Below are 11683 nucleotides of genomic sequence, written 5' to 3' on the forward strand. Positions count from 1 at the left end.
CAGCTCTGCCAGAACTCGAATCCAGGTCTCCCAGAGAGACCAGGAGAGGGTGTGGTATGGAGTTTGGGGGAGTGGGAGTTTGTTTGATTTTTTAAATTTGTTTGTTTGTTTGAAACAGGGTCTTACTCTGTGGCCCAGGCTGGAGTGCAATGGAGCCATCATAGCTCACTGCAGTCTAGGACTCCTGGGCTCAAGTGATCCTTCCGCTTCAGCCTCCCAAGGAGCTAGGACTACAGGAGAGTGCCACTGCGACAGCTTTTTTTTTTTTTTTTTTTTTTGAGAGCGGGTCTCTCTATGTTGCCTAGGCTGGTCTCAAACTCCTGGCTTCAAGCAATCCTCCCACTTTGGCTCCCCAAAGCGCTGCCATCACAGGCGTGAGGAACCCAGCCTGGCTGTAACACGGCATCACACTGTGAGTTATGTTTACCTGTTCCCTACCTCGACCCACCCAGATCTGACACCCTCTTGGCATTGGAATGCAGAAATGAATGGAGACCCTGTCCCTGCCCTCCCAGTATGCACGAGACACATACGCCCCGTGAAGGGAAAGATGTGTCTGTCTTGCTTATTACAGCATCCCAGAGCCATACACACAGTAGGTGCATAATAAATCTTGTAGGAAAAAAAAAATGCAACGGAGGGGCGGGGATTAGGTGACTGTCCCTTTATCACAGCAGGAGAGGAACAGTACATGCAAATGTGTGAATCACTCGGGCTATGTTCAGAGAACTATAAACAGTTCAGAGTTGATGAAGGGCAAAGTACAGGATGAGAGGAATAGAAGATTAGACCAGAGAGGAAAGACAGGGAACCAAGGGGCTTGGACTTTACCCCACAGCAGAAGCCAAAGAAAGATGTCAGGCAGAAAGAACACCATCGGATTCACATTTGGGGGTCATTTTTCTGGCTTATGGTAGATGGATGAGGAAGTTGAGAGGCAGAGGAAACAGAAAAGAAGAGGCTGGCTTCTGAAGCCATCGGGGAGGTGGAGGTGTCAGGACTTACCTGCTGGATGACGCCCAACTTTCCACCTTGGGCAACTGGATACAACTCACGAGAGAAACAGCAAACCAAAAAGACAGGTGCTCACATGTGGACAATCTGGGTTTGAGGTGTGGAGTTCAAGATATAGAGGCTGCACTTTGGAGGCTGAGGTGGGAGGATTGCTGGAGCCTAGGAGTTCAAGACCAGCCTGGGCAACAGAGCAAGACCTTATCTCTTTAAAAAAATAATAAATAAAAAATTAAAAATTAGCTGGGCATGATGATACACAAGTGTAGTTCCAGCTAATGGGGAGGCTGAGGCAGGAGGATTGCTTGAGCCTAGGAGTTCAAGACCAGCCTGGGCAACATAGCAAGACCTCATCTCTATTTCTTAAAAAAATTAAAGATTAAAAAAAATAAAACTTAGCTGGGCATGATGACACATGATTGTAGTTCCAGCTACTTGGGAAGCTGAGGCAGAAGGATTGCTCGAGTCCAGGAAGTTGAGGCTGCAGTGAGCTAGGATCACGCCACTGCACTCCAGCCTGGGTAACAGAGTGAGACCTTATCTCAAAAAAAAAAAAAAAAAAAAAAGGCTGAAGAGCCACACTTCCACACAAAAATGGTTGTGTTTGTGGTTGCCGAGTCACAGCTCTAACCACTCCGGCTTGCTCCAGAAAGCTACTCATGGCAAGGTGCAAAAACCCCTGTTTGTTGGGGGCATTTTGGAAGTTTTTATTCTCATTCATGTAGGCAATACACATTTTATGCAATTAAGTACAGGAGTAACTTTTTACAAGTTGTTGAGTTTCAACCTATTGATGTTTCCTGCATTTTGAGTCCATATAAATTTTACAGGCTATTTAGAAATTACTGATAATAAGAGAGTACAGCTTATGAGAGAGAATGGCATACCCATTCTCTGGGGCAAATTCAGAGCCTCAATTTCTGGTAAAGAGAAACAATTAAGCTAAATAAAAGTAACACTTGAATCAGTAAATGAAGTTATTTTTAATATTTCCAAAATTGTTAGTAGAGCTGTCTTTACAATTTTTTATGGATTTAAATGACATCTGTTTTTAATCCCAGCACTTTGGGAGGCCGAGGCGGGTGTATCACCTGAAGTCAGGAGTTCAAGACCAGCCTGGCCAACAGGGTGAAATCACTTCTCTACTAAAAATACAAAAATTAGCTGGGTGTGGTGGTGGGCGCCTGTAATCCCAGCTACTCGGGAGGCTGAGGCAGGAGAATCGCTTGAACCCTGGAGGCAGAGGTTACAGTGAGCTGAGATTGTACCACTGCACTCCAGCCTGGGCGACCAAGTGAGACTCTGTCTCAATCAATCAATCAATAATAAATAAATTACATCTATTTTCATTCTTTTTTTTTTTTTGAGTTGGAGTCTCACTCTGTCGCCCAGGCTGGAGTGCAGTGGCGCGATCTCGGCTCACGGCAAGCTCCCCCTCCCGGGTTCACGCCATTCCCCTGCCTCAGCCTCCCAAGTAGCTGGGACTACAGGCGCGGCCACCACGCCTAGCTAATTTTTTGTATTTTTAGTAGAGACGGGGTTTCACCGTGTTAACCAGGATGGTTTCGATCTCCTGACCTCGTGATCCACCCGCCTCGGCCTCCCAAAGTGTTGGGATTACAGGCGTGAGCCACCGCGCTAGGCCTTCATTCTTAATTTTATCTACAATATTTGTTCTCTCCCCCTCCTTTGTCTTAGTTTTTCTGTTTTATTGATTCCTCCCTCTAAAACAGCACTGTCCAACAAACGTTCAGCAGCTATGGAAAAGTTCTGTATCTGTTCTATCCATTTCAGTAGTCACTAACCATACATGGCCCCTAAGCAGTGGAAACTTGGCTCGTGCGACTGAGAAAATGAATTTTTAATTTAATTTTCACGTGGGTTGTGGCCACCCTACTGAGCAGCATCTCTCTAAAAGATCCAGCTTTTTGATTTTGTCAGTTCTATTTGTTTTCTAATCAGTTCGTCTGTGCTTATTATTTCCAATATTCATCATCTCATTTTTGTGATTTCTCTCTATATTCATATAATAAATTATCAAGCAAATTTCCTCTATAATCATTTAAACCTCTGCCTTTGTCTCCATGTTCACATCATTGTCATCTTCAAATAGTCTATCCTTGCAGTGTTTCGATCCTCCAACTTAAGACTTAGGGGTTGGTTGTTTTTTTGTTTTGTTTTGTGTTTTTTGTTTTTTTGAGATGGAGGTTAGCTCTTGTTGCCCAGGCTAGAAGAGTCCAATGGCACCATCTCGGCTCACTGCAACCTCTGCCCCCGGGGTTCAAGCGGTTCTCCTGCCTCAGCCTCCCAAGTAGCTAGGATTACAGGGTATGCGCCACCACCCTCAGCTAATTTTTGTACTTTTAGTAGAGACGGGGTTTCACCATGTTGGCCAGGCTGGTCTCGAACTCCTGACCTCAGGTGATCCGCTCGCCTCGGCCTCCCAAAGTGCTGGGATTACAGGCGTGAGCCATGGTGCCCAGCCCTTTTCGGTTTTTTTGTTTTTGTTTTTTTGGTTTTCATTTTCTTTTTAATTATCAAGTGGTAGGAGTCTCTCTTACATGCTTGTTCAGTTAAGCTTTTAAAAATTAATTCCAGTTATGCTTACTTGCAGCCAGAGATTAGAACCCGTACAATGTCTGCTTTTTTGGAATGTATTGGTTTGGGGTGGGGTTTTGTTGTTTTTTTTTTTTTTTTTTCAGATTTAACAGATGATTGATTTTTCTAACTATTCCAAGAGCACTTTAAAATGTATATTGTTTGCAGAGTGCAAAGTTCAGTCCTATCTGTTACCACAATCTTATTAACCATGTTATTCAAACTTTTTGTTACCTGAGTCTCATCTCCCAGATCCAGGCTGTGTTGGAGTCTTCTCCGAAGTTTCTCCTTGCATTTCCAACAATTTGCTCTCTACAGTTTAATTCTATTCTAGGTGACCCTCAACTCATTAAAGATCATCCCTTCAAACCATGCAAAAGCTCTCCCTCTCTCCCTGAAAACGCCTCGCGCCTTGAATTCTTTGCTTATTTTTCTCTGTTCAAATTTAGCCACACGTTGAAGTTTTCTGTGTCATTTTTGGAAATAGGTATGACAATCTGTAAGCGGCACAGAGAGAGAGAACCGCAGCCTCCATGGGAACGAGGAAGTGGGAACGGGATGAGAGTTTGGAATCGATCTCCGTGGAAGGTCTGAATTGCAAGGCGGGTTTCCCTGGGGACAATCTCAACCATAAAAAAGTTCTGCTCACATGACTGATGGCTTTTCAATAACAAGTATATGGCGGTCTTGAATGTGCACAGGTTGACAGTTTTCCCGGGAGCTTCTACATGCACGAGCTGGCAGAGTCTAGGGACAGGGACAAGGAATGGAGAAAATTTCCTCAACTCCTGAAGGACACAGGTGCCCATGGGGACGTACTGAATTTCTGCAGAGGCACCGTGAAACAGAATCATAAGTCAGAAGGAAAATGCACCTATTTCACATTCCATCGTGACAAAAGGGAGACGACTTTTAGCTTACCTCCTGATTCTGCGGGTTCCTAAAAGCCAGGATGACTGCTTTAACTTTTATATTTTATTTTATTTCAGATGGAGTTTCACTCTTGTCACCCAGGCTGGAGTGCAGTGGTGTGATCTTGGCTCACTGCAATCTCTGCCTCCCAGGTTCAAGGAATTCTCCTGCCTCAGCCTCCTGAGTAGCTGGGATTACAGGCTCCCGGCTCACTGCAATCTCTGCCTCCCGGGTTCAAGCAATTCTCCTGCCTCAGCCTCCTGAGTAGCTGGGATTACAGGCTCCCGGCTCACTGCAATCTCTGCCTCCCGGGTTCAAGCAATTCTCCTGCCTCAGCCTCCTGAGTAGCTGGGATTACAGGTGCCCAGCACCATGCCCAACTAATTTTTTTTTTTAATTTTTTATTTTTAGTAGAGTTGGGGTTTCACCATGTTGGCCAGGCTGGTCTCGAACTCCTGACCTCAGGTGATCCACCTGCCTCGGCCTCCCAAAGTGCTGGGATTACAGACGTGAGCCACCATGCCCAGCCTGGAATGACTGCTTTATTTTCCCCTCTATAAGTTACGAGAGTCTTCGTGTGTCATCTCCATGCCAGGAGCCTCATGGCCTCGTTTTCCCGGGGGGCCACTCCCCGTGTATATACCTCAGACACTGCTATTCTATTAGAAAAACATGTGAAGTTCTCTGATTGGGGGAAAGATCCATTTCCTGCTCATGTTGATTTCAACAAAAGAAAGGAATAAGTTTCCCTCTGGATCCTCAGACTTCACTGGCTAATCAAGACCCACCTTGCAGCTGCTCTTTGTCCACCAGAGCAAACAGCCCAGATACCTGGAACTTCCCAGTTCTACCTGGATTTATGCTACTGAGCCCTGGCACCTATGCGGGGAAAATGCAATAAGGAAAAAAAGGACAAACAATGCTCCCCTATCAGGCTGGCTGCTGAACATCATCATGTAAGAAAGATGGGTAGAGCCGGGCGCAGTGGCTCACGCCTGTAATCCCAGCACTTTGGGAGGCCGAGGCGGGCAGAGCACTTGAGGTCAGGAACTCGAGACCAGCCTGGCCAACATGGCAAAACCTCATTTCTACTAAATATACAAAAAAAATTAGCCGGGCATGGTGGCGGGTGCCTGTCATCCCAGCTGCTTGGGAGGCTGAGGCAGGAGAATCGCTTGAAGCCAGGAGGCAGAGGTTGCGGTGAGCCGAGAAGGCACCACTGCACTCCAGCTTGGGCAACAAAAGTGAAACTTCATCTCAAAAAAAGTTTACTAGGCAGCAAAACACCTCCTGTTGCTTGTCCCATTCTCTAGTGGCTTCTATCAACAGATCTGAGCTCCTACGGAGTGTCCGGCACCATCTGAGCTCCAGATACAAGCTAATGGTTAGAACAGACCTTTCCACAGCCTAGAGGGTAGACAGAGAGAAATCTTTAGCACTGGGCATGCAAGCACATTTCGTTACAAATTGTGACCATGCTCCAATCAAGTTCACAGGGGGCTGAAACGCCCGGGTTGTTAATTTCCTCAGAAGGTTATTCTATAAAAGCCAAAGTGTTACTTTCTTGCATTGAGAAACCAGAGCACCAAATGCCAACTTTCTAGCTCAGTTCTCACCTTCCTTCCTCATGTCTGCCATGCAATCAAACTAAGGAACGGATGGACAGCCAGCCATGCCTGTCAGTCCCGCAGTAGCCAGGCCTAAGATGGGGACAGTAGGAGGAGCGTGGAGAAATTCTACATTGTCCAAATCTGCTCTCTTGGCTTCCTGCAGTGGCTCTCTCATGCCTGTAATCCCGATACTTTGGGAGGCTGAAGCTGGAGGATCACCTGAGGTCAGGAGTTCAAGACCAGCCTGGGCAACATGGCAAGACCCCTCACACCCCCCACGCCCATCTCTACAGATAATACAAAAATTAGGTGGGCATTGTGGTGCACACCTGTAGTCCCAGCTATTCGGGAGGCTGAGGTGGGAGGATCAATTAGCCCAGGAGGTCAAAGCTGCAGTGGGTTATGACTGCATGACAGCACTCCAGCCTGGGTGACAGAGTGAGACACTGTCTGAGGCTCTCCCATCAGACCTGCGAGCCACAGCTTCAATAGCCAGCACGTGGAGTGCAAGGACTTATGGTATCAGGTCGACCTGAGTTTCGAGCAGACACAGCTACTTCCTGGTCACATGAGTCTGCTTTCTGTGCCTCGGTTTCCCCATGTGCAGACGGGAACCATCGAAGTACCTTGGGCTGACTTGAATACTGGAGGGGATGACGCACAAAATAGCACTCACAACTTCCTTTATTTCATGGGAAGAGAGGGTTGGATGGATTAAACCAGGGGTCCCCCACCCCTCAGGGAGTTGAGAGACAGAATCTCATTCTGTAACCCAGGCTGGAGTGCAGTGGGTGTGATCATAGCTCACTGCAGCTTCTACCTCTTGGGCTCACTCAATCTTCCCACCTCAGCCTCCCAAGTAGCTGGGACTACAGGCACACACTTGTGATCCACACTCAGCTAATTTTGGTATTTTTTGAGCAGACGGGGTTTGGCCATGTTGCCCAGTCTAGTTTCAAACCAGCCAGTTAGGAACCAGGCTGCACAGCAGTGGACGAGGGGCGGGCGAGCGATGGAAGCTTCATCTGTATTTACAGTCACTCCTCATTGCTTGCATGACCATCTGAGCTGCGCCTCCTGTCAGATCAGCAGCAGCATTAGATTCTCCTAGGAGCGTGAACCCTATTGTGAACTGTGCATGCGAGGGATCTGGGTTGCACGCTCTTTATGAGAATCTAATGCTTGATGATCTGTCACTGTCTCCCGTCACCACCAAATGGGACTGTCTATTTGCAAGAACCCAGGAGGAGGAGGTTTCAGTGAACAGAGATTGCACCAGTGCAGTCCAGCCTGGGTGGCAGAGTGAGACCCTGTCTCAACAACAACGACCACAACAAAAACAAACAAAAAAAGAGTCATCAAGGAATAAATAAAACGGGTGACACGCTGTTTTTCTAAAGCCCAAATATCACGTTGTCAACCACACTTCCTGATGACATCTAAATCCCCTTTGAAACTGCTTGGAAGTTTCTAGAAGAGCTCATCCACAGTAACAGAACACTCAAGTCTAAAAGGGAAAACACAAAATCCCCAATTTTCCTCTCAGAAATCAAGATTTAATAGCCTCCTAAGGAAACCATAATTTGAGGGCCATTGGGAGCATTACTCTCTGAGGCCTGTGATTATAGAATGCCGAGAATGATTGGGAACTTGAACCACCAGTGAATTTGGGCTCCAACTAAAATGAATGAGACCCGTGGCCAGGCACGGTGGTTCACGCCTGTAACCCCAGCACTTTGGGAGGCTGAGGCAAGCAGATCACCTGAGGTCGGGAGTTCGAGACCAGCCTGGCCAACATGGTGAAACCTTGTCTCTGCTAAAAATAGAAAAATTAGCCAGGCATGGTGGCATGCACCTGTAATCCCCAGCTGCTCGGGAGGCTGAGGCAGGAGAATCGCTTGAACCCGGGAGGCAGAGGTTGCAGTGAGCCAAGATGGTGCCACTGCACTCCAGCCTGGGCAACAGAGTGAGACTCCATCTCAAAACAAAACAAAACAAAACAAAATAAAAAATTAAAATGAATGAGACCCAAAGCAGAAGGTATACCAAAGCCCCCTCACCCACACACAGACACTAAGAGGAGGCTGGGGAGGGCTCAAGGAAGTTGGAAAGAGGGAAAATATCACGAGAATAAAGCAACCATCTCAAAAAACAACATGAGTTTCCCCACTTATGTCTCCCTAGCCTGGCTAAAGAAAGGAGAATGGGCCGGGCCAGTGGCTCACACCTGTAATCCCAGCACTTTGGGAGGCTGAGGCAGGAGGATCGCTTAAGACCAGAAGTTCGAGACAAGCCTGGGCAATATAGCAAGACCCATCTCTACAAACAAGTTTAAAAACTACTTGAGGGCCTGAGGCAGGAGGATCACTTGAGCACAGGGGTTTGAGGCTGCAATGAGCTATGACTGTGCCGTTGCACTCTAGCCTGGGTGATAGAGTGAGACCTTGTTTGAGAAGGAAGGAAGGAAAGGAAGGAAGGAAGGAAGGAAGGAAGGAAGGAAGGAAGGGAAGGAGGGAGGGAGGGAGGGAGGGAGGCAAAGAAAGAAAAGAGTTACAAGGAGCTTGGCCTTGGGCATGGAAAGGGATTTGTGGTTAAGAGCTGGCCCCTCTTCCAGCCCTTGTACCCCCCAGAAAACCACCTCGTGTTTGGCTCACGAACTTCTGCTTCTTGGAACTCATCTAAGTCAAAGACAACAACACCCTCTGAGATGCTACTGACCTCATGCCACGTAACTATTCTGTGGCTGCCAGGAGGAACCGCCCACTCGCTCTTCTTGGGTTTACTCCTAATTCCACGCCCACCTCACCTTGAACTTCCCACTTTGAAATCTAAAGATCAAAGGTGTTTCTTGGTTCTCACATAGAAATCCCCCCCTTGAACTTCCTTCCTATCTGTTTCCTCAGCCTATCTTCCCTCTGGCCGTGTATTATTCACAAAGAGTTCTACAGGATACAAAGATAAAATTTAATGTACTTTCCTTAGCAACCGGAAAAAAAAAATCCCTGAAAAATTAAACAGCAGATACCCAAATAGAAACTTTGCTTTAGAAAAATGGGATTTGACCACACACACGTGCACAGGCCACACAAACCGTCATAACCTTGACCAGCTTAAGAGAACAATTCTCAAGCCAGTGAGAAAACAACAGCTGTGGCCGGGCGCAGTGGCTCACACCTGTAATCCCAGCACTTTGGGAGGCCCAGGCGGGTGGATCGCTTGAGCCCAGGAGCTCGAGACCAGCTTAGATAACATGGCAAAACCCTGTCTCGGCTAGGGGTACAAAAATTAGGCTGGGCGCAGTGGCTCACGCCTGTAATCCCAGCACTTTGGGAGGCCGAAGTGGGCGGATCACGAGGTCAGGAAATCGAGACCATCCTGGCCAACATGCGAAACCCCCTCTCTACTAAAAATACAAAAATTAGCTGGGCATGGTGGCGCGTGCCTGTAATCCCAGCTACTCGAGAGGCAGAAGCAGGAGAATCGCTTGAACAGGGGAGTTGGAAGTTGCAGTGAGCCAAGATGGCGCCACTGCATTCCAGCCTGGCAACAGAGCAAGACTCCATTAAAAAAAAAAATTAGCTGGGCATAGTGGCACATGCCTGTGATCCCAGCTACTCAGGAGGCTGAGGCATGGGAACTGCTTGAACCCAGGAGGCAGAGGTTGCAGTGAGCCAAGATTGTGCCACTGCATTCCAGCCTGGGCGACAGAGCAAGATTCCATCTCTAAATAAATAAATAAAATTAGCTGGGCATAGTGGCACACACCTGTGGTCCCAGCTACTCAGGAAGCTGAAGCAGGAGGATTGCTTGTGCCCAGAAGGTCAAGGCTGCAGTGAGCTGTGATCACACCACTGCACTCCAGGCTGGGTGACCAATGCATCGCTCTCACCTCTCTCCAGGCAGCCTGCAGAAGCCAGATATTTATTTGAAACCTCCAGCTTCTGCTCCTCATGTGTATGCAAACGTTGAGCTCAACTCCATAAAAGTCATGTTTTGTTTTGTTTTTTGTTTTGAGACAGGGTCTTTCTCTGTCACCCAGGCTGCCTATCACAGCTCTCTGCAGCCTCGACTTCCCAGGCTTAACTGATCCTCCTGCCTCAGCCTCTCGAGTAACTGGGATTATAGGCACACACCACCATGCCCAGCTAATTTTTTTTTTTTAGAGAAGGGGTCTTGCTATGCTGCCCAGGCTGGTCTCGAACTCCTGGATTCAAGCGATCCTCCCGTCTCAGCCTCCCAAAGTGCTGGGATTACAGGTGTGAGCCATGACGCCTGGCCAAAGTCATGTATTTTATTCCATAATAGATGTACATGAGGGTAAAAATAACACTTGACTAATGTACAGGTTGAAATACAGAACATTTGCACCACCCCCATCTTTGAATACTATTTCATCCACCCTACTCCAATTCCAAGAGCAATGTCGTGGGTGTCTTAGCAATCAAGGATAGCACCTCCAGAACAAAAACGCTGTGAAAGTCAAAGAGAAGTTCTGTTTATACTAACAAAGGGCTGGAAATGTCTATTGGTTGTGGGTTGAATAAGTAAATTCCAAATGAACGTGACCACAGAAGAAACAGAGATTCAAAATGACCCCCAAGAAGTATTACTAAGGGAGAACGCCAAGAGCCAGGCGCAGTGGCTCACACCCGTAATCTCAGCACTTTAGGAGGCCGAGGCGGGTGGATCACCTGAGGTCAGGAGTTTGAGACCAGCCTGATCAACATGGGAAAACCCCATCTCTACTAAAAATACAAAAATTAGTCAGGTGTGGTGGTGTGTGACTGTAATCCCAGTTGCTCGGGAAGCTGAGGCAGGAGAATCGCTTGAACCCAGGAGGTGGAGGTTGCAGTGAGCCGAGATTGAGCCATTGCACTGCAGCCTGGTCAACAGAGACTCTGTCTCAAAAAAAAAAAAAAAAAAGTAAACAAGAGTGTCTCCTCTCCATAAACAAATTAACAGGAGAAACTCAGCCCCACTAAAACACACACAAATTTAGGAAATTGACAAAAACCTAAGAGCTGAGAAAATATGGGTTCTGGAGTCTCAGTGTTTGGCATCAAGTCATGGCTCCACTTTCTCCTCGCTGTGCGACTCCTGGAGGGGAACCTAGTGTGCCTGGTCCTCAGTTTCCCTGTCTGTAGAATGGGCTGGGAAAAACTATGCAGATTCTTGGAACCAGGGTGACACAAGCAAGGCACTGGCCTCTGGCATAAAAGTTAAGGCGTGCCAAAACCGTCTTCAAGATAAGTTATATATATAAATATATATGTATATATGGAGAGAGAGAGACAGAGACAGAGAGACAGAGAGAGACAGAGTCTTACTCTGTGGCCCAGGCTGGAGTGCAGTGGTACAGTCTCAGCTCACTGCAGCCTCTGCCTCGCGGTTTCAAGCAATTCTCCTGCCTCTGCCTCCCAAGTAGCTGGGATTACAGCCACCCACCACCATGCCCAGCTAATTATTATATTTTTAGTAGAGACAGGGTTTCACCATGTTGGCGAGGCTGGTCTCTAACTCCTGACCTCAAGTGATCCGTCCTCCCAAAGTAC

General features: G+C 47.4%; 1 protein-coding gene and 1 long non-coding RNA gene across 5 annotated transcripts in view; one reads left to right on the plus strand and one right to left on the minus strand.

The window, feature by feature from the left end:
- INSR (insulin receptor) overlaps nt 1-11683 on the minus strand; it is a 182150-nt gene that overhangs the window by 87040 nt on the left and 83427 nt on the right. The window lies entirely within an intron of this gene.
- LOC124904626 (uncharacterized) lies at nt 280-4262 on the plus strand. The gene is made up of 2 exons (XR_007067111.1): nt 280-412; nt 4097-4262. It is a non-coding gene; the product is annotated as an uncharacterized LOC124904626 (long non-coding RNA).

Source organism: Homo sapiens, chromosome 19, assembly GCF_000001405.40.
Source record: "Homo sapiens chromosome 19, GRCh38.p14 Primary Assembly".
Lineage (NCBI taxonomy): Eukaryota > Metazoa > Chordata > Mammalia > Primates > Hominidae > Homo > Homo sapiens.